Below are 22523 nucleotides of genomic sequence, written 5' to 3'. Positions count from 1 at the left end.
CTGCAAACTTACTTACGAAGGGCATTTTCTACTGAAATCTCATAGTCTCCCATGAATTGGGGCTTAATGTGTGCCCATTTCCTAGATCCTGCCTTTGTAGAGAGCTGAAACCAAGGATGTTAGAAGCAAAGGGAGGAGTAGGATCTAGTTATTTATTCCTTGGGCATTTGTCAAGCACCTACTAGGTGCCAGACACTGTTCAATGTGCTCTATGTCCCCTGATAGAAGTCTTGCAGCTGGGCCAGGAGTGGTAGCTCATGCCTGTAATCCTGGCACTGTAGGAAGCTGAGGCGGGAGGATTGTTTGAGGCCAGAAGTTCGAGACCAGCCCAGGCAACATAGTGAGACTCTGCCCCTACAAAACGAACGAACAAACAAACAAAAAACCAGGTGTGGTAGTGCACACCTGTAGTCCCAGCTACTCAGGATGCTGAGGTGGGAGGATTGCTTGAGCCCAGGAGGTCAAGGCTGCAGTGAGCTGTGATTATACCACTGCACTCCAGCCTGGGTAACCCTACCTCAAAAGAAGAAGAAGAAAAGAAGAAGTCATCTTGCAGCTATGCTGAAGTAATTCTCACCCATTGCAAAGATGAGGAGATTGAGGCCCCAAGAGGCTAAACAATTTGCCCCATGTCAGGCAGCTGAGGAGCAGTGAGTCTTCAGCTAATGCTTTTAAGTTGATGTTTTAGAGAGCAAAGACTCAATAGAATCAAATTAAAGCCTGGCTCAGGGAAGCAAATTATAGTTAATTTGGAAGGTTCTAGAACATTAGTGTCTATTTACTGTCCCAGGGTCTCAGGAATCTCCACTGGTTCTGTTTTTTTTTTTTTTTCCCCCAGAGTCTCACTCTGTTGCCTAGGCTAGAGTGCAGTGGCACAATCTTGGGTTCAAGTGATTCTCCTGTCTTAGCCCCCCAAGTAGCTGAGGTTACAGGTGCAGGCCATCACAACCGGCTAATTTTTATATTTTTAGTAGAGACGAGGTTTCACCATGTTGGCCAGGCTGGTCTCAAACTCCTGACCTCACGTAATCCGCCCACCTTGGCCTCCCAAAGTGCCAGGATTACAGGTCTGAGCCATCGTGCCTGGCCTCCACTGGTTCTGTTTAGCTCTGCCTGGGCTGGGGGTGAGTGTTCCCCTTCACCAGGTGTTCACATCCTCCCTCTCTTGGGGGCAGGGATTGCAGGAGTCTGGGACAGGCAACTGCCCAAAGGCAAAGGGCATCAGGGCCTGTCTCCGCAGTCCTTCCCTTCTTTTCCTCCAGTCTGAGCCCTGTCTCCCAGTACCAGTGTCTCCATCTACACAGTGGGAATTGCCAGGTAGAACCATCTGAGCCATTTTTAAAATTTTTATTTTTATTTTTTGTTTTTAGAGACAGTCTCCCTCTGTCATCCAGGCTAGAGTGCAGTGGCACAATCATAGCTCACTGCAGCCTTGACTTCCTAGACTCAAGTGATCCTCCCACCTCAGCCTCTCAAGTAGCTAGGACTACAGGCAGGCACCACCATGCCCAGCTAATTTTTTTGTATTTTTGGTAAAGACGGGGGTCTCCCTATGTTACCCAGTCTGGTCTTGAACTCCTGGGCTCAAGTGATCCTCCAGCCTTGGCCTCCCAAAGCCCTGGGATTACAGGTGTGAGCCACCATGCCCAGCCTGGAGTGTATATTTTTACTGTAGCCACATTCACCTGGACTGTCTGTTTAAATTCTCTTAGCAATCTAATGAATGAAGGATCATCACTGGTCCATTTTACAGATGAAAAAACTCTCCAGACTCGGGTTGACACCTGGAATTCCAGCGCTTAGGGAGGCAGAGCCGGGAGGATCGCTTGAGACCAGGAAATCGAGACCAGCCTGGGCAACATAGCCAACCCTATCTCTACAAAAGTTTTTTTTAAAATTAGCTGGGTATAGTGGTGTGTGTGACTGTAATCCCAACCGTAAGGTCCTCTGAACGGACTACGCCAAGGTCAAGCCATTGTGACCCCTGTGAGCCACATGTACAGCCTCCTGGGGTCACAAAGGCTGGAGCAACAGGAGAACCACCAAAGAAACAGCTAGTTCCTGCCTTAACTTATTAACCGACCTTGGAACATTCCACCACTGTGATATGTTCCTGCCCTACCCTAACTAATCAATTGACGTTGTGACCTCCCCCCACCTTGTGGCTATAAACCTTGTGACATTCTTCCCCTGCCCGAAAAAACTGCCCCTAACTGTAACTTTCCACTACCCTACCCCAAACCTATAAAACCAGTTCCACTCCAATCACCCTTCACTGACTCTTTTTTCGGACTCAGCCCGCTTGCATCCGAGTGAATAAACAGTCTTGTTGCTCACACTTAGCCTGTTCAGGGTGCCTCTTCAATTAGACGCGCGCAGAACATTTGGTGCTGAAAGCCCGGGATAGAGGATCTCCTCCGGGACACCTACCCCCATTCCCCTGCACTCTTCCTTGAAGAGACTCCCTTCCACCTTGGGACTTCAGACCCACCCCTGCAAAATGACCCCACTCCTGCCTACAGATCGATTAAGCTGCCTCAGTCTCTCTTCGTCTCTCTCTCTCTTTTTCTTTCAGACAAGGAACCTCCTTTTATCTGTGTTTCTGAAATCCAGCGTTGGTCACAGCCGTACAACCCAGGACTTCCATTCGGGATGCCCACCGAAGATCCCTGTGGTTGCTCTATTCTTTGTCTCTTTCTTTCCCATCCAATCTTCCCTCTTCTATCATGGGCAACCTCCCGCCCTCCATCCCTCCTTCTTCCCCTCTGACTTTTGTCCTCAAAAATCTCAAACCTCTTCAGCTTTCACCCAATCTAAAGCCTAAACGTTTATTTATTTTTTTCTGTAACATGCCTGGCCCCAGTGTAAATTAGACAACAGCCCTCAGTGGCCAGAAAACGGCACTTTCAATTTCTCTATTTTGCGGGACTTAGACAACTTCTGTCACAAAATGGTCTAATGGTCTGAGGTACCCTATGTCCAGGCATTTTTTTACACTATGATCTCTCCCTACCGTCTGCTCCCAATGTGACCTGTCCCAAGTTTTCCTTATCTCCCTTCCGTCTACCCCTCCTTTTTCCATTGGCAATGCCGATTCCTCTGTGTCTGTTAATCCCTCTGATATTTCTCCCCCTCACCCACCCGAACTCGTTCTAATTCCCCCTCAGAACCTGATCCCTCTTCTACCCACAGCCCACCCCCTTATGCCCCTCCCATCACCACCCCTCCTCACACCTTATCTGGCTTACAATTTGGCCCCGTGGCCGGTCCCCCTGCCCCTGCCCAGCAATTTCCCCTTCGAGAGGTGGCAGGAGCCGAAGGAATAGTCCAGGTTCATGTCCCTTTCTCCCTGTCAGAACTCTCCCAAAATAGTCAACGCCTAAGCTCTTTCCCGTCTGACCCCACGAACTATATACAAGAATTCCGATACTTAACCCAGTGCTATAATCTTAACTGGAATGACTTAAACGTCATCCTCACCTCTACGTTCACTCCTGAGGAGCGAGAGCGAGTTTGGACCCTAGCTCAGTCTTATGCTGATGACCACTGGTGCCTTGAGCCTGGCCTCCAAAAAGGTGCCAGGGAAGTACCCCGTGAAGACCCCCAGTGGACCTACCACGCAGGGGTCCAAGGCATAGCCAGGCGGGACTATATGATCTCTTGCCTAGCTCAAGGGCTTCAGAAGGCTGCATATAAAGTCATCAGTTATGACAAACTAAAAGAGACCACTCAGAACAAATATGAAAATCCAGCTTAGTTTATGGCCCATCTAGCTGCCACCCTCAGGCGATATACAGCACTAGACCCTGAAGGGCCAGAAGTCCGCCTTATTCTTTTTTTTTCTTTTCTTTTCTTTTTTGAGAAGGAGTCTCGCTCTGTCGCCCAGGCTGGAGTGCAGTGGCCTGATCTCCGCTCACTGCAAGCTCCGCCTCCCGGGTTCACGCCATTCTCCTGCCTCAGCCTCCCCAGTAGCTGGGACTACAGGCGCCCGCCACCACGCCTGGCTAATTTTTTGTATTTTTGGTAAAGACGGGGTTTCACCGTGTTAGCCAAGATGGTCTCGATCTCCTGACCTCGTGATCCGCCCGCCTCGGCATCTCAAAGTGCTGGGATTACAGGCGTGAGCCACCGCGCCCGGCAGCCGCCTTATTCTTAACATGCATTTTATCACGCAGTCAGTTCCTGACATTAGAAAGAAATTTCAAAAATTAGAGTCTGGCCCTCAAATCCCACAACAGGATTTAATCAACCTCGCTTTCAAGGTGTTCAATAACAGGGAAGAGGCTGCCTGGCAGCGGCGTATTTCAGAACTGCAGAGGCTTGCCTCTGCCCTAAGACAAACCCCAGCTGCACCGCCTACGTGTAAGAACCTCAAGACGTCCAAATCCCCGCTCCAGGACCTTGCTTCAAGGGTTGAAAACCTGGCCATGGGCCAAGGAATGCCCGCAGCCCGGCATTCCTTCCAAGCCATGCCCGGTCTGTGCGGGCCCTCACTGGAAGTCGGACTGTCGGACTCTTATCGCCACTGCCGGAGCTCCTGGAGCTCAAACCCGAAACTCCCTGACCAACTCCTTCGCAGATCTCCTCGGCTTGGCGGCTGAAGACTGACGCTGCCCGAACGTCTCGGAGGCCCCCTGGACCATCATGGACACCGAGTTTTGGGCAACTCTTACGGTGGAGGGTAAGTCCGTCCCTTTGATTGATATGGGGGCTACCCACTCCACATTACCTTCTTCTCAAGAGCCTGCTTCTCTTGCCCCCATAACTGTTGTGGGTATTGACGGCCAAGTTTCTAAACCCCTTAAAAGTCCCCAACTCTGGTGTCAAATCGGGCAACACTCTTTCAGGCATTCCTTCCTGGTTATCCCCACCTGCCCAGTCCCCTTATCAGGCCAAGGTATTTTAACTAAATTATCTGCCTCCCTGACTATTCCTGGACTACAGCCACATCTCATAGCTACCCTTTTATCCAATTCCAACCCTCCCTGGCAACCTCCCCTTTCATCTCCCCACCTCAACCTTAAAGTGTAGGATACTTCCGCTCCTTCCCTTGCAACTGTCCATTCACCCCTTATCATCCCATTAAAACCTAACCACCCTTATCCTGCTCAATGCCAATACCCCATCCCACAACAGGCATTAAGGGGCCTAAAGCCTGTTATTACCTGTCTACTACAGCATGGCCTCTTAGTTCCTACCAACTCCGCTTACAACTCTCCCACCCTACCTGTTCAAAAGCCAGATAAATCCTACAGACTAGTCCAAGACCTTCGCCTTATTAATCAGATTGTCCTCCCCTCCATCCTGTTCCTTCCTTGGCCAAAAATTGTTGGCTATGCATTTCCCTCTCTTCCTCCTACTACACAGCTGTCCCTGCCCTACCAGCTGACTGGGCAACCTCCCCCATCTCCCTACACCTCCGAACCTCTTTCAGTGACCCCCCACCTTTGCCCTCCCGAACAACTTCTTTACTTTCTAGACAAATTCAGTAAAAATTCCCCTGACATGTTTTAACAACAAGCTGCCACTCTCCTCTGTACCTACCTAAAAAAAGCTGTCTGCCTATATCAATGCCACACCCCCTGTTCTTGGACCCCTCACTACACAGAAACTATCCCCATTGCTGCCCCCTTATACGTCTCCCAGCAATTACCTACTGGAATTCCCTTAGGGAGCCTCCCATCTTCCTTATGTTCCTTTACCCTTCCATGAAAACAGAACCTCTCCCTCTACACAACTACCCTATCAAACCCCACTACAACCTTTAACAGCTGCTGCCCTTGCTGGATCCCTAGGGGTCTGGGTGCAGGACCCCACTTCCAAAACACACTCTCACCATTTTACTCTGCACTTCCAGTTTTGCATGCCTCAAGGACTCTTTTTTCTCTGTGGCTTTTCCACCTACATGTGCCTCCCTGCCAATCAGACAGGAACCCGTACTCTAGTTTTCCTTACTTCCAAAATCAAGTTTGCAAATGGTAGCGAATAGCTGCCCGTTCCTCTCTTAACCTCAGCACGACAAAAAAAAGTCATTCCATTAATTCCGTTTGTAGGACTAGAAGTCTCTGCCGCTTCAATCGGGACAGGAGTAGCAGGCCTTACAACATCACTACCTTTCTCAGTCTCTCCAATGACTTCTCTGCTAGCCTTATCGATATAACTCAAACACTCTCTGCCCTCCAAGCCCAGGTCGATTCCTTGGGTGCAGTTGTCCTCCACAATCGCCGAGGCCTCAATCTGCTTACTGTTGGAAAAGGAGGACTCTGCCTATTCTTAAATGAAGAATGCTGCTTTTACTTAAATCAATCTGGCCTCGTATATGATAACATCAAAAAATTTAAAGACAAAGCTCAAAAACTTGCAAATCAGGCAAATAATTATTCTGGACCTACCTTGCCATTCTCTAGCCTAGCTTCAAGGCTCCTTCCACTAACAGGCCCTTTCATCCTTCTCCTCCTCTTGATCGGACCTTGTCTTTTCAGGCTAATCTCTCAGTTTATACAAAATTGCATCTAAGCTATTACTAATCAATCAATACGGCAAATACTCCTCCTAAAACCTCACAATATCACCCCCTACACCAAGATCTTTCTTCAGTTTAATCTCTCCAACTTTAGGTTCCCATGCTGCCCCTAACCCCGCTTGAAGCAGTCCTGAGAAACATTACCCATCATCCCAAAACATCATCCATCACCCCTCCATACCATCCCGAAAATTTTCACCCCAACATCCCAACATTACACTACTCTTTCTCGTTTTATTTCTTTCTCATTTTATTTTTCATTATTAAACATAAAAAGACAGGAATGTAAGGTCCTCTGAACAGGCTACACCATGGTCCAGCCATTGTGATCCCTGTGAGCCACACGTACAGGCCCCCTGGAGTCACGAAGCCTGGAGCAACAGGAGAACCACTAAAGAAGAAACAGCTAGTTCCTGCCTTAATTTATTAACCAACCTTGTGACATTCCACCATTGTGATCTGCTCCTGCCCTGCCCTAACTAATCAATCAACCTTGTGATATCGTGCCTTGTGACCTCCCACCTCGTGACTATGCACCTTGTGACATTCTTCCCCTGCCCGAAGAAACTGCCCTTAACTGTAACTTTCCACTACCTACCCCAAACCTATAAAACCAGTTCCACTCCAACCACCCTTTGCTGATTCCCTTTTTGGACTTAGCCGAAAAGTGAGTAAACAGCCTTGTTGCTCACACTTAGCCTGTTCAGGGTGTCTCTTCAATTAGACGCATGCATAACACCAACTACTCAGGGGGTTGAGGTGGGAGGATCGCTTGAGCACAGGAGTCAAGGCTACAGTGAACAGTAATCCTGCCACTGCACTCTGGCCTGGGCGACCGAGTGAGATTGTGTCCCAAAAATTAAAAAAGAAAGAAAGAAAGAAAAAGAAAAAACGAAGGCAACCAGGGTGGTGGCTTACTCTTGTAATCCCAGCATTTTGGGAGGCCAAAGCAGGAGGATTGCTTGAGCCCAGGAGTTTGAGACCAGCCTGGGCAACACAGTGAGACCCCATCTCTATAACAGAAAAAGAAAGAAAGAAAGAAAGAAAGAAAGAGAAAGAAGAGAGAGAAAGAAGAGAAAAAGAAAAAGAAAAGAAGAGAAAGAACAAACGAATGAAAAGAAAGAGAAAGAAGGAAAGAAAGAAAGAAAAAGAAAGAAGAAAGAGAAAGAAAGAAAAAGGAGAAAAGAAAGAAAGAAAGAAAGAAAGAAAGAAAGAAAGAAAGAAAGAAAGAAAAAGTGGCACTAAAAAGGTAAAGGATCCTGTCCCAAATTGCACAGCTAAGAAACTGTGGTACAGGGAGGTTGAGTGTCTTGCTCAGGGTCACACAGCAAGTTTAGTGATGGAAGCTGAGTTCGTGAACCCGGATAAGAAAAGGGAGCCCAAGAAAGGTAGGGGGTAGACCTAGCTCCACCCAGGTCCACCTGAGCTGCAGACAGTGGCCTAGAACAGACCGGCTGCTGGTGCGCAAGTCCACGTGGCCTCTCGTACTTGGACACCAGAGGGCGCAAGCGAGCCTCCGGCCAGGCGGGCAGCTGCGCTCGGCCCCTCCCTCAGGAATGCCAGTGCTCGAGGGAGGGAACCTTGGCCGCCCGCCCGGAGCAGCTGCGCCTGCCGCTCAGATTCCGCCCGCCTTCCCCTCCCTGGGATCGGGAGTTTGCACCGAGAAGGCGCGGGCGGGAGGGGTGGACTTGCAGGGATGTGTCCTTGCAGAGATGCAGCCTCTGGTTTTACTCCCTCCTCCAGGGCTTTGAGCTCAGAGCTTCCCAGGGAAGGCCGGGCAGGACCCAGGAGACCAAGGAATAAGGCTACCATCAACATAACTATTAAGGGCTCTAATTTATTAGACCCCGACTACATTCCAGCCCTTAATATAACTTTCTCCCTGGCAAGTTCCATTTCACAGATGAAGAAACTGAGGGTCAGAGAAGTACCCTGTCTTGTCCAGGTAGGAGGTGTCAGGAGCTTCTCAGGGTGGACTGTACTGCCAGGATGTGCCAGCTTGGTTAACTCCTTGAGTCATTTTTTGGTTTCCACGGTGCTGGTGATGTGGGTAGAGCAAATAGACAACAGTCCCCTGCCCATGGAGCTGACATTTTAGTGGGTGGAGACAAGCAAGAAACAGTGGTATATGCCTGCCGGGCGTGGTGGCTCATGTCTGTAATCCCAGCACTTTGAGAGGCCGAGGTGGGAGGATCACTTGAGCCCAGGAATTCAAAAGCAGCCTGCTCAATAAAGCAAGACCCCCGTTTCTATGATTATTTGTTTTTAGAATGAAAGAAAGAGAAGGAAGGAAGGGAGGAAGGGAGGGAGGGAGGAAGGAAAGAAGGAAGGAAGGAAAAAAAAAAGAGAGAGAACCATGTCAGATCATGGGAAATAAAACACGTAAGAAAATAAAGGGACAGTGTGCTATCTTGAGGTGAGCCTGGAGGACCTCTTGGAGGAGGTGGTATTTGAGCGCATGAAGGAAATGAGGAAGGGAACCTTGTGGATATTTGGGAAAAGCATTCTATGTAGAGGGAACAGCAAGTGCAAAGGTATTGAGGTTGGAGAGTTTAAGAAACAGCAAGTAGGCCAGGCGTGGTGGCTCACACCAGTAATACCAGCACTTTAGGAGGCCAAGGCTGAAGGATCACTTGAATCCAGGAGTTTGAGGTTGCAGTGAACTATGATCATGCCACTGCACACCAGCCTGGGTGACAGAGAGAGACCCTGTCTCTAAAAAGAGATAAAGACAGACAGACAGACAGACGAAACGGCACAGCAAAGAAGTCAGTGTTGCTGGAATGAGTAGGTGATGGGGAAAAAGTGGGAGATAATTTGAGACAAATATTCATTGGTCAGATGATGCAGTTTTGATCTGAGTCTAAATAAGAGGGGAAGCATGCCGGACATCATGGCTCACACCTGTAATCCCAGCACTTTGAGAGGCCAAGGTGGAAGGATTGCTTGAGACCAGGAGTTCAAGACCAGCCTGGGCAACATAGTGAGACCCCCCTCTACAAAAAATGTTTAAAAAGTTAGCTAGGCATGGTGGCACGCACCTGTGGTCCCAGCTACTCAGGAGGCTGAGGTGGGAGGATCTCTTGAGCCTAGCAGGTTGAGGCTGAGTGATTGCACCACTGTACTTCGATCTGAATGACAGAGCAAGACCCTGTCTCAAAAAAAAAAAAGTCTAAATAAGAGGAGAAACCACTGCAGAGGTTTGAAAAGAGCATTGACATTGTCTTTGTGTGTGTGTGTGTGTGTATGTGTGTGTGTGTGTGTGTTTTGTGAGACGGAGTCTCACTCTGTCACCCAGGCTGGAGTGCAGTGGTGCAATGTCGGCTTGCTGCATTGGCGTGGTCTCGGCTCACTGCAAGCTCCGCCTCCCGGGTTCATGCCATTCTCCTGCCTCAGCCTCCCGAGTAGCTGGGACTACAGGCGCCCACCACCATGCCTGGCTAATTTTTTGTACTTTTAGTAGACATGGGGTTTCACCATGTTAACCAGGATGGTCTCGATCTCCTGACATCGTGATCCGCCCGCCTCGGCCTCCCAAAGTGCTGGGATTACAGGCGTGAGCCACCGCATCCGGCCTGTCTTTGTGTTTTAACAGAATCAGTCTGTGTATGTCTTTTCTTATTTTATTTATTTATTTATTTATTTGAGACAGGGACTGTCTCTCTCAGCAGGCTGGAGTGCAGTGGTGCGATCATATCTTACTGCAGCCTCTAATTCCTGGATGCAAGAGATCCTCTTGCTTCAACCTCCTGAGTAGCTGAGACTACAAGGACATGACACCACACCAGGCTAATTTTTTAAAATTTTTTGTAGAGATGGGGTTTTGCTATGCTGCCCAGGCTGGTCTCAAAATCCTGGACTCAAGTGATTCTCTTGCCTCCACCTCCCAGTGTTGGGATTACATGCGTGAGCCACTGTGCTATCAGTATGTTCTTTGTTTCTGTGTCTTGAAATTTAAAAGTAAAATAATAATAATGGCCCGGTATGGTGGCTCACGCCTGTAATCCCAGGACTTTGGGAGGCCGAGGCAGGTGGATCACCTGATGTCGGGAGTTTGAGACCAGCCTGACCAACATGGAGAAACCCCATCTCTACTGAAAATACAAAAATTAGCCGGGTGTGGTGGCACATGCCTGTAATCCCAGCTACTTGGGAGGCTGAGGCAGGGGAATCACTTGAACTCGGGAGGAGGAGGTTGTGCTGAGCCGAGATCGCACCGTTGCACTCCAGCCTGGGCAGCAAGAATGAAACTTCATCTCAAATAATAGTAATAATAACAATTCCACAACATAAAAATAAGGCCAAACACCCTTAACAGATAAGTTAAAAAAGAAAAAAAAAAGCAAACTGGGAATGGAAGTGTCTGCACTTCGTATCAGATTCCTTAATTTCCTCAATATATAAAGTTTCTAGAAATGAATAATAAAAACATCAACAATCCAACAGAAAATAAATTGGGCAAAGGTGTGATCAGAATGCCCACTAAAAATGAAACACAAAAGGTTCTTTAACATTTGAAAAGATATTCAGCTTCTCTCATAATAAGAGAAGTACAATTTAAAACCACACCAAGATACCAATTTTTATCCATTAGATTTGCATAAATTCAGAAGACAGATAATATGGTGTGTGCCAAAGGTATTGCCAAGCAAGGAGGCTACCATATGGACATTGGTCCTCCAGGATGGACAAGAATTTGATAATGTTCAGAAAAATTACAAATGCTTAGATACTTTGGCCAAATAATCTCATGACAGAAACTCTTGCACATGTGTGAGATGATATGAGGTTTGTCATTGCTGCCATTTATGTAATAGCAAACATTTGGAGAGAATCCAGAGATCTATTAGTAGAGAAAAGAGTTGCATAAATTATTGTTTATCTCCACAATGGAATAAACTCCAGATCTGCAAGGAATGAGGATGTCTGCTTGGGCCGATATGGAAAACCCTGCGACCAGGCACAGTGGCTCATGCCTGTAATCCCAGCACTTTGGGAGGCCAAGGAGGGCGAATCAGTCAGGAGTTTGAGACCAGCCTGGCTAACACGGTGAAACCCTGTCTCTACTAAAAATACAAAAATTAGCCAGGCGTGGTGGCACACGCCTGTAGTCCCAGCTACTCAGGAGGCTGAGGTGGGAGAATCACTTGAACCCGGGAGGCAGAGGTTGCGGTGAGCCGAGATTGCGCCACTGCACTCCAGCCTGGGGGAGAGAGTGAGACCCTGTCTCAAAAAAGAAAAAAAAGAAAATCCTCCAAGGTATACATGATCCAAGGAAACAACTAAAGTTCACATTTATTTGTATAGTATGCTGCTTTTAGTGAAAAAGTTTTTTAAAAAGTATATATTCAGTTTTTTTGTTTGTTTGGTTTTTGTTTTGAGACAGAGTCTCACTCTGTCACCCAGGCTGGAGTGCAGAGGTGCAATCTCAGCTGACCACAACCTCTGCCTCCTGGGTTCAGGCAATTATCATGCCTCAGCCTCTGGAGTAGCTGGGATTACAGGCGCGCACCACAATGCCTAGCTAATTTTTGTATTTTTAGTAGAGATGGGGTTTTTCCATGTTGGCCAGGATGGTCTCAAACTCCTGACTTCAGGTGATCCACCTGCCTTGGCCTCCCAAAGTGCTGGAATTACAGATGTGAGCCACTGTGCCTGGTCTATATTAAGTTTTTTTTTAAACTAAAACACTCTATGTCTGTTTTCAAAGTTGTGGTAAAATATGTGCACTACAAAATTTACCATTTTTGGCTGGGCGCAGTGGCTTATGCCTGTAATCCCAGCACTTTGGGGGGCCAAGGCGGGAGGGTCATCTGAGGTCAAGAGTTTGAGATCAGCCTGGCCAACATGGAAAAAACCCATCTCCACTAAAAATACAAAAATTAGCTAGGCGTGGTGGTGGGCGCCTGTAATCCCAGCTACTCAGGAGGGTGACGCAGGAGAATTGCTAGAACCCAGGAGGCAGAGGTTGCAGTGAGCTGAGATTGTGCCACTGCACTCTAGCCTGGGTGACAGCGAGACTCTGTCTCAAAAAAAAAAAAAAATTACCATTTTAACCATTTATAACTGTACAGATCAGTGGCCTTAGGTTCATTCACACTGTTGTGCAACCATCACCGCTATCCATCTCCAGAACTTTCTCATCTTCCCAAACTGAAACTCTGTCCCCATGAAACACTAATTCCCCATTCTGTCCTCCCTCAGCCCCTGGCGCCCACTGAGTGACTTTCTATCTCTATGAATTTGACTACCTTAGGCATCTCAGATAAGTGGAATTTTCTATCTGGTTTATTTCACTCAGTATGGTATTCTCAGTATTTACCCACGTATCAGAATTTCCTTCCTCTTTAAGAATATACAAAAGTTGGCCGGGCGCGGTGGCTCACGCCTGTAATCCCAGCACTTTGCGAGGCCGAGGTGGACAGATCACAAGGTCAGGAGATCAAGACCATGCTGGCTAACATGGTGAAACTCCATCTCTACTAAAAATACAAAAAATTAGCCGGGTGTGGTGGCGGGCGCCTGTAGTTCCAGCTACCTGGGAGGCTGAGGCAGGAAAATGGCATGAACCCGGGAGGCAGAGCTTGCAGTGAGCCGAGATCGCGCCACTGTACTCCAGCCTGGGCGACAGAGCGAGACTCCATCTCAAAGAAAAAAAAAAAGAATATACAAAAGTCTGTTTATCCATTCATGAGTTTTTGTTTTTGTATTTTTTTGAGACAAAGTCTCATTCTGTTGCCCAGGCTGGAGTGCAGTGGCGCCGTCTTGGCCTCATTGCAAACTCCACCTCCTGGGTTCAAGTGATTCTCATGCCTCAGCTTCCTGAGTAGCTGGGATTACAGGCGCCTGCCACCACGCACAGCTAATTTTTGTATTTTTAGTAGACAGAGTGTTTCTCTATGTTGGCCAGACTGATCTCAAACTCCTGGACTCAAGTGATCCACTTGCCTCGGCCTCCCAAGTGCTGGGATTACAGGCATGAGGCACCATGTCTGGCTTGCTTGCTTGCTTTCTCTCTCTCTCTCTTTGGAGCCAGTAGTTCAACTGGCTTTTTAAGTTTTTATTTAATTTTAAGAAATTGAGCTTTATTAAATAGTAAATGTAACTACAACTTGTGGTTATAAATATATATTTAATGGAAAAAATATACATACATTGCTGGTGTGTGCTCAAATACATTTTGCTGATGGAGTGTGTGACCAGGAATGACCCCTTGGTCCACAGAGCTCTGGTGTATGCATGGAGGTGGGGGGTGGGCTATGAATCATTCCTGTGTTCTCAGGCCCAGGATCATGAAGTCACGAGGTTGAATGTAGCAGAGTCTGTCTCTTCCTTCAAGGCTCATAACAATGCCGCTTCCTCCAGGAAGCCTCCCTTGCTTTCCCAGAGACAGCTGTGGCTTCCTGCTCTGGGCTTCCCAGGCCAAGTTCCCAGGGTCCCTCTCTGTGCTCCAGCTGTGACCACAGAGGAGTCTATGCCTGAAAATAAAGGCCCTTCTGGGATTCTAGCCATGTCTAGGCACAGAGGAGGGGAGGGGGAGTTTGCAGAATGAATAAATGAAGAGTCTGTTCATCCTTTGAATTAGATGTGGAATGAAGAGGTCTGGTTGTTCAGGGATGGGGATCGTGAAGCTCTGTTCTGCTCATCTTGGCCGCACCCGCGTTGGGAGGCAGCCGCAGGACAGACATTGAAGGCCAAGGTTGAGGAGGCGTGGACAGCGGAAGAGGAGGCGGTGGGTCGTTCGCACATACAGGCTGCCAGAGGAATCCACGGTTTTGAGCGTGGTCAGCGGCGAGTAGCGGATGTTGGTCTGTCGGCGCAGGGGTGGTCGAGTCGAGCTGATGACGTTGACAATGGCCTGCAGAATGGAGGCCCTGAGCGCTGGGACCCAGGGAGGGCCTCACCCCGCAACATACCTGAGCCACGTCTTGGGGCTCTGGGCCCTTCACTCACCTGAACCACGTCCTGTGGGTTCTGTCCCACGGAGCAAAACAGCTTCCTGGAGGCTGGGAGATAGAGGTCCCGGAAGTAGTGCAGGGTCTCAGGGTCAGTGCCTGGGAACTCAGCCATAGAAACCTGCGCCAGAAGCTTCCCCTCAAACTCGGTGACCACGGGGCCTGGCTCCACCAGGGAGATGCTGGCGACCAGGCATGGGTAGTGTAAGTCTGATGCCCCAACCACTCCCTGACCTATTTTGTCCATTTTTTTTTTTTTTTAAGATACAGGGTCTCACTCTGTTGCCCAGGCTGGAGTGCAGTGGCATGATCATAGCTGTCTGCAGCCTCCAACTCCTGGGTTCAAACAATCCTCCGCCTCAGCCTCCTGAGTAGCTGGGACTGCAGGTACACACACCACCACCCTTGGCTAATTTTTAAATTTTGGGCTGAGATGGGGGTCTCGCTATGTTGCCCAGGCTGGTCTCAAATGCCTGACCTCAAGCGATCCTCCCATTTCAGCCTCTCAAAACGCTGGACTTACAGGTGTGAGCCACTGCACTCAGCTTCATTGTCTTCATCTCTCCTCTCCCCCTTTCGATGCCACCTCCCCATCACTGGCTCCAAGCCCCCTCTGCCCACGTGCCCGCCTCACAAGATGTTGAACTGCAGCAGCTGGATAGCGAGGCTTTCGAAGAATCCCTCCAGGGCGAACTTGGAAGCTGCATAGACATCGTTGAAGATGACACCTGTGAGGGTCAGAGGGAGGAGAGCTCTTTGAGGGTCTGGGAGGTGGGCTTTGTGGGTTCCAGGGTGATGGGGTCTTTGGGAGACAGAGCAAAGAGGATGTGGGAACCAGAGAAAGCAGATACATGGTGCCAAGATGATGGGTGTATGGCATTGTGTGATGGGGTCATATGGGGTCAGAAAGAGGTTGTTCTCGGGTGCCGGGTGCCACCTCCTCCCAGCTCCACCTGGTCCCAGGAAACTCCCCTATTTCCCTCCATTCTCTAAACCTTTGGGGCCGCTTGGGGATCCCCTTCATTTTTCTCTTCATTAGGGCCCTTGTCTCTCTTCCTCCCTCCCTTCCTTCCTTCCTCCCTCCCTCCCTCCCTCCTTCCTTCCTTCTCTCTCTCTCTCTTTTTCTTTTTCTTTTTTGATAAGGTGTTGCTCTGTTCTGCAGTCTGGGGTGCAGTGGTGCAATCATGGCTCACTGCAGCCTTGAACTCCTGAGCTTAAGCGATCCTCCCACTTCAGCTTCCTGAGTAACTGGGACTACAGGCACACACTAGGATGCTTGGCTGATTTTTTTATTTAATTTAATTTTTTTTTGGCGGGGGGGAGACGGAGTCTCACTCTGTCGTTCAGGCTGGAGTGCAGCCTCTGCCTCCTGAGATCAAGTGAATCTCCTGCCTCAGCCTCCTGAGTAGCTGGGACTACAGGTGCACACCACCACACCCAGCTAATTTTTGTATTTTTACTAGAGACGGAGTTTCACCATGTTGGCCATTCTGGTCTCCAACTCCTGACCTCAAGTGATCCATCAGCCTCAGCCTCCCAAAGTGCTGGGATTACAGGCATGAACCACCACATCTGGCCAAAGTTTTGTTGTTGTTTTTTGTTTGTTTGTTTGTTTACTTATTTATTTATTTTTTTTAGACAGAGTCTTGCTCTTGTTGCCCAGGCTGGAGTGCAATGGCGCAATCTCAGCTCATTGCAACCTCTGCCTCCTGGGCTCAAGCAATTCTCCTGCTTCAGCACCCCGAGTAGCTGGGACTACAGGTGTGTGCCACCACACACGGCTAATTTTTTTGTATTTTTAGTAGAGATGGGATTTCATAATGTTGGCCAGGCTGGTCTTGAACTCCTGATCTTGGGTAATCCACCTGCCTCGGCCTCCCAAAGTGTTGGGATTACAGGCATGAGTCACCGTGCCTGGCCCAATTCTAAAAAAATTTTTAGTAGTGATGAGGACTCCCTGTGTTGACCAGGCTGGTCTCAAACTCCTGAGCTCAAACAGCCCTCCTGCCTAGGCCACGCAAAGTGCTGGGATTATAGACGTGAGTCACCATGTCTGGCCACTTTTTCCTTCTGAACTTCAGAATCCTTCTGAACACAATTCTCCAGGCTAATTTATTTTATTTTATTATTATTTTTTTTGAGACAGAGTTTCACTTTGTTGCCTAGGCTGGAGTGCAGTGGCACGATCTTGGCTCACTGCAACCTACACCTCCCAGGTTCAAGGAATTCTCGTGCCTCAGCCTCCTGAGTAGCTGGGATTACAGGCACATGCCACCATGCCTGGCTGATTGTTTTGTATTTTAGTAGGAACGGGCTTTCACCATGTTGCCCAGGCTGGTCTCAAACTCCTGAGCTCAGGCAATCCACCCGTCTCAGCCTCCCAAAGTGCTAAGATTACAGGCATGAATCACCGTGCCCAGGGTCCATGCTAATTTAGAATATGATCTAAAACCCATTCGCCATCCTCCCAGTCTGGGGAGGATCAGACACTGGTGGGATTTCCAGGGTTGGGTCCCCACAGCTCACCCTGCAGGCCCATGACACTGCTGATCACCACGATGTGGCCCTGCCGCCTCCTCTTCATGCCTGGAAGCACAGCTTTGACGAGACGGACAGCTCCGAAAAAGTTGGTGTCAAAGACATTCTGCATGGCAGCAAGGCTGAGCCCCTCCAGGGGCCCCACCAGGCCCATTCCAGCATTATTCACTAAGAGAAGAGGTACTAAGGGTTACCTTAAAGTCCCTCACTCTTCTAGCATTACTTCTAGACACTCCCTGAAGCACCTCACCCCGTACTCCAAGTCCAAGGCCAGTCCAGGGTATCTTGGGTGGACAAATATGAAACCTTGGTAACCTTTAAACACAGTTTAGCATTTGTCATAGGGGATCCTCAGCCCTGAGTGGGAGGAAGGGCTGCTGGGAATAGTGCCCCCCTTAATCCATGAGCAATTCAATTCTGACCCCAAATTACATCAAGACAGCGACACCCACCTTCCTGCGAAGGTTAGGGACCTTATGACTTATTTCTGTATCATGCTGTCTTCCCCAAGTGACTCATCCAAGTAATTTTCCCAACCACATATGGCTTTCTCCATATATGAGAATTTCTATTCCATAAAATCTGCCCCACCTCCAGGCCTCAGATTGTTACTAGTGTCTCTAATATTTTTGTTTTTTAAAAAAATTGATTTTTGAGCTGGGCATGGTGGCTCATGCCTGTAATCTCAGCACTTCGGGAGGCCAAGGTGAGTGGATCACCTGAGGTCAGGCTTCGAGACCAGCCTGATGAACATGGAGAAACCCCGTCTCTACTAAAAATACAAAATTAGCCAAGTGTGGTGGCGCCTGCCTGTAATCCCAGCTACTTGGGAGGCTGAGGCAGGAGAATCACTTGAACCCAGGAGGTGGAGGTTGCAGTGAGCTGAGATTGCGCCATTGCACTCTAGCCTAGGCAACAAGAGTGAAATTCCATCTCAAAAAAAATTGATTTTTGGCCAGGTGTGGTGGTGCATGCCTGTAATTCCAGCACTCTGGGAGGTCGAGGTGGGCGGATCACTTGAGGTCAGGAGTTTGAGACCAGCCTGACCAACACGGTGAAACCTCGTCTCTAAGAAAAATACAAAAATTAGCTGGGCATGGTGGCAGGCACCTGTAATCCCAGCTACTCAGGAGGCGAGGCAGGAGAATTGCTTGAACCTGGGAGGTGGAGGTTGCAGTGAGCCGAGATCACGCCACTGCACTCCAGCCTGGGCGCAGAGCAAGACTCCGTCTCAAAAAAAAAATTATTTTTGAGACAAGGTCTTACTCTGTCTCCCCAGACTGGCTCTGTCATAACTCACTGCAGCCTCAAACTCCTGGGCTCAAGGGATCCTCCCACCTTGGCCTCCCGAGTAGCTGGGATTAGGCATGCACCACTATGACTGGCTAATTTTTAATTTTTTTGTAGAGTCAGAGTCTCACTATTTTGCTGAGGCTGGTCAATCCTCCTGTCTCGGCCTCCCAAAGTGCTAGGATTACAGGTATGAGCCACTGCACCCAGCCCTTAATAAATCAATTGGTAGGACCAACTGGTCTACCCCTCTTGGCCAACTGGTCTACCCCTTCTGCCCAGGTTCAGAGATTGCTGAAGAAGCCAGAGAGCTGGTGCTCAGACCTTGCCATATTGAGGGTCTATACTCAGACCAGGATGGGGCTTAGTGAATCAGGGGCTGTGAAGTCTCACCCAGCACGTCCACTTCTCCCTGGATACAGCTGAGACACTGGGCCACCGACTCATCACTGCACACGTCCAGCTGGGCCACGGTGAGGGTCTGCCCCAGAGCCTCCCCAGCAGCTGCCTCCAGTGTCTCCTTCTTCCCCAGGTCCCTCATGGTGGCCACGACTGCGGGGCAGAGAGTAAAGCAGGGACAGGCACTGAGCTCCTTTCCCCTTGGTGTGGGCGCCACGTGTCTGTGATCTTGCGTTACAAGTCACAGAGAGATGGAAACTCACAAGTTTACACACCTACATTTATCACTCAGCCAACAAGTGCACACTTGTGTACACGCATCTCCACGTACCTATATCCATCCTTCCAACCATGAGTTCAACAGACATTTATTGAGCATCTACTATACACTATGCCCTATTCTAGGTGCTGAGGCTATGGCATGAAATAAGATAAAGTCACCAGGTGTGGTGGCTCAAGCCTGTAATCCCAGCACGTTGGGAAGCTGAGGTGGGAGGATTGCTTGACCCCAGGAGTTTGAGACCAGCCTGGGAAGTATAGCGAGATCCCATCTCTACAAAAAAATTATATTTTACAAATTTGCCAGGTGTGGTGGGTGGCCCCCACCTGTAGTCCTGGCTACTTGGGAGGCTGTGGTGGGAGGATTGCTTGAGCCCAGGAGGTTGAGGCTGCAGTGAGCCGAGATGGAGCCACTGCACTACCGTCTGGGTGAGAGAGTGAGACCCTGTCTCAAAAAATAAAAAATAAGGCCGGGCGGCCTGGCGCGGTGGCTCACGCCTGTAATCCCAGCACTTTGGGAGGCCGAGGTGGGCAGATCACGAGGTCAGGAGATCGAGACCATCCTGGCTAACATGGTGAAACCCCGTCTCTACTAAAAATACAAAAAAAAAAAAAAATTAGCCTGGCGTGGTGGCAGGCGCCTGTAGTCCCAGCTACTTGGGAGGCTGAGGCAGGAGAATGGCGTGAACCCGGGAGGCGGAGCTTGCAGTGAGCCGAGATAGCGCCACTGCACTCCAGCCTGGCAACAGAGCGAGACTGTCTCAAAATAAATAAATAAATAAATAAATAAATAAATAAATAAATAAGATAAAGTTTCTGCCTTCATGGAATTTATAGCCTAGTAGGTAAGACAATAAAATATATAAACATAAAACAGATTGCCATGAAAAAAATGCATACACAACTATAGCCAACATATGTGCATATATGAACACTGAAGTGAATAGCCATATATATATATATATTTTTTTTTTGAGACGAAGTTTCACTCTTGTTTGTTGCCCAGTCTGGAGTACAGGGGTGCAATCTCGGCTCACTGCAACCTCCACCTCCTGGGTTCAAGCAATTCCCCTGCCTCAGCCTCCCGAGTAGCTGGGATTACAGGGGTACAGGTGCCTGCCACCACACCTGGCTAATCTTTTGTATTTTTAGTAGAGACGGGGTTTCACCATATTGGTCAGCCTGGTCTCGAACCTCAGGTGATCTGCCCACCTCATCCTCCCAAAGTGCTGGGATTACAGGCGTGAGGAGCCAGAGAGCCACAGCACCTGGCCAAGCTTTTATGCCCTTTTTTTTTTTTTTGAGACGGAGTCTCGCTCTTGGTGCCCAGGCTGGAATACAGTGGTGAAATCTCAGCTCACTGCAACCTCTGTCTCCCGGTTCAAGCAATTCTCCTGCCTTAGCCTCTCAAGTAGCTGGGATTATAGGCACTGCCACCATGCCTGGCTAATTTTTGTATATTTATTTATTTATTTATTGAGACAGAGTCATGCTCTGTCGCTTAGGCTGGAGTGCAGTGGCATGATCTCGACTCACTGCAAGCTCCACCCCACAGGTTCACGCCATTCTTCTGCCTCAGCCTCCCGAATAGCTGGGACTACAGGCATCCACCACCACGCCTGGCTAATTTTTTGTATTTTTAGTAGAGACGGGGTTTCACCATGTTGGCCAGGCTGGTCTCAAACTCCTGATCTCAGGTGATCTGTCCACCTAGGCCTCCCAAAGTGCTGAGATTACAGGCATGAGCCACTGTGCCCAGCCTCAAGCTTATGTTCTTAAGCAGGACCTCAGCATATGTACTATGTCTGCACATGCACCAGCATACGTGTTTGATATCCCCCAATGTGTGCACCCATAATCACCCATGAACACTCCTGGGGGCATTTGCCTCTTGTCTTCGGGTCAGTGTGATTTGTGGGTAGCAGGCACGTGAATGGGGTCACTTGCATCTACATGTGATATAGTGGGAAACATGGGTGCAAGGGATGGGCTGCCTGAGTTCAAATCCCAGCTCTGCTACTTTGCAGCTGGGAGACCTTGAGCAAAGACCTTTCACAGTCTGCACCTTAGTTTCCTCATTTCTAAAATAGGGCAGGCCAGGCACGGTGGCTCATGCCTGTAATCCCAGCACTTTGGGAGGCCCAGGCAGGCAGATCACCTGAGACCAGGAGTTCGAGACCGGTCTGGCCAACATGGTGAAACCTTGTCTATTAAAAATACAAAAACTTAGCCGGGTGTGGTGGTGCATGCCTTAATCCCAGAAACTCGGGAGGTCAAGGCATGAAAATCACTTGAACGTGGGAAGTGGAGGCTGCAGTGAGCCAAGATGCACCACTGCACTCAGCCTGGGTGACAGAGCAAGACTCTGACTCAAAATAAATAAATAATAAAATAATAATAAAATGGGGTGAATGATTGTGCCTGCCTCACGGGTGTGATGTGAGGATTAAATGACTTCCTGGATTCAGGGCACTTAGAATGCAGCTTGGTGCATTGTAAAAGCTCCATAAACATTAGCCTCCAGCAGTTTCATACACCCATCTGCCCGCCCATAGGGACACACGTTATTCCCTGCACACTGGCATTCAGGCTGTCATGCTCAAAGCTGTGTGCGTCTCTAAAACAGAGGGCAGAGGGCTGGGAGAAGCAGCCCTGCCAACTGGGGCAATGCCCTCACCCCCAGTCGCCTCTTTGTAAGTAACAACCCTTTGCCCACTTTGACTCCAGCATGCTCCCTCTGGGTCAGGGGTTCTCCTGGTTGGTTAGGATGCAGGTCCCAGGGATTTATTCTAGAGGTGCAGAAGGGCAAGTTCTTAGAACTAGAAGGCCATCCCTTCAACCCCCAAGGTCAGGAGCACTTAAGAAGCTTATCTCAGTAAAAGCAATAATCTGGGGAGACGTGGAAGAGTGAGCATCAGGGTAGTGATTATTCCAATCTAGGAAATGCCCTAGTGAAACCCTTCTAAAAATAACCCCCACCCACCCCCTGCCACTCTCAGCATGCTTTATTTTGTGTCTCAGCACTTATTCCCACCAGATAGAGCAACAATTTCTTTTTATCTGTTTATCACCCATTCTCCCTCTCCTCCCCACATGACACCCGTCCTGAGGGCTGAGATTTTTGTCTATTTCATCTCCAGTTGTGTTGCCAGCATTCAGAGCACCCAGAAGATGCTCAAGAAATATTTCTAGGATGAGGGGATGATTCCTGGAGGGAATCCTGGGTCTCCCCAAGCCCACAAGTGCAGCTGGGAGGGATGGGTAGGGGAGACAGTGCTGGGGAAGCCGTTTCCACCCGGCTGCCTCCTAGTGCCACCCTGCACTTCTTACCCTGGTAGCGCTTCTTGGGGTCATGGGCCAGTTGCACTGCAAGTTCCAGACCAATTCCTGATGAGCAGCCGGAGATCAACACAGTCCGGGGTGCAGCGGCCATGTTGATCCCCTCCCTGGACTCGTGACCTCCGCCGGGCAGCACCTGACTCTGACCATTCATCCTGGGCTCATCTGCTCCCTCCTAACCCCCTCCCACAGATCCCCTG

At 49.1% G+C, this 22523-nt stretch overlaps 1 protein-coding gene across 1 annotated transcript, besides 3 other annotated features; it reads right to left on the bottom strand.

The window, feature by feature from the left end:
* Nucleotides 7739-8396: a transcriptional cis regulatory region, noted in NCBI's record as "candidate enhancer chr19.1735 targeted for multiplex CRISPR interference". NCBI's record gives its function as "positively regulates ZNF121 gene expression with high confidence in K562 cells {active_cell/tissue: K562}" and the evidence as "EXISTENCE:mutant phenotype evidence [ECO:0000015][PMID:30612741]".
* RDH8 (retinol dehydrogenase 8) lies at nucleotides 13636-22432 on the bottom strand. The gene is made up of 6 exons (NM_015725.4): nucleotides 22315-22432; nucleotides 18700-18858; nucleotides 17005-17184; nucleotides 15113-15206; nucleotides 14477-14660; nucleotides 13636-14381 (listed from the first exon to the last, which is right to left on the bottom strand). The coding sequence occupies exons 1-6, from the start codon at nucleotides 22415-22417 to the stop codon at nucleotides 14166-14168; spliced, it is 936 nt and encodes a 311-aa protein (NP_056540.3). The 5' UTR covers nucleotides 22418-22432; the 3' UTR covers nucleotides 13636-14165.
* Nucleotides 16954-18153: an enhancer, noted in NCBI's record as "BRD4-independent group 4 enhancer chr19:10128438-10129637 (GRCh37/hg19 assembly coordinates)". NCBI's record gives its function as "activates an origin of replication core promoter dependent on BRD2, P300/CBP, MED14 and CDK7 cofactors, and independent of BRD4, by STARR-seq in HCT116 cells {active_cell/tissue: HCT116}" and the evidence as "EXISTENCE:reporter gene assay evidence [ECO:0000049][PMID:35650434]".
* Nucleotides 21642-21811: an enhancer, noted in NCBI's record as "experimental_50731 CRE fragment used in MPRA reporter constructs". NCBI's record gives its function as "activates a minimal promoter by MPRAs in K562 erythroleukemia cells, with activity observed for both the introgressed and non-introgressed 19:10124865 variant alleles {active_cell/tissue: K562}" and the evidence as "EXISTENCE:reporter gene assay evidence [ECO:0000049][PMID:34662402]".

This window comes from Homo sapiens, chromosome 19, assembly GCF_000001405.40.
Source record: "Homo sapiens chromosome 19, GRCh38.p14 Primary Assembly".
NCBI lineage: Eukaryota > Metazoa > Chordata > Mammalia > Primates > Hominidae > Homo > Homo sapiens.
This window is presented reverse-complemented; position numbering and strand designations above follow the sequence as displayed.

Excerpts from the sequence above, each read along its gene's own strand:
- RDH8 (NM_015725.4), bottom strand. The coding sequence starts at position 22,417 with ATGGCCGCTGCACCCCGGACTGTGTTGATCTCCGGCTGCTCATCAGGA. Across the intron at positions 17,185-18,699 it reads GGGAGAAGTGGACGTGCTGG|TGAATAATGCTGGAATGGGC; the intron begins GTGAGACTTCAC and ends CTCTTCTCTTAG. Across the intron at positions 15,207-17,004 it reads CAGTGTCATGGGCCTGCAGG|GTGTCATCTTCAACGATGTC; the intron begins GTGAGCTGTGGG and ends TGACCCTCACAG.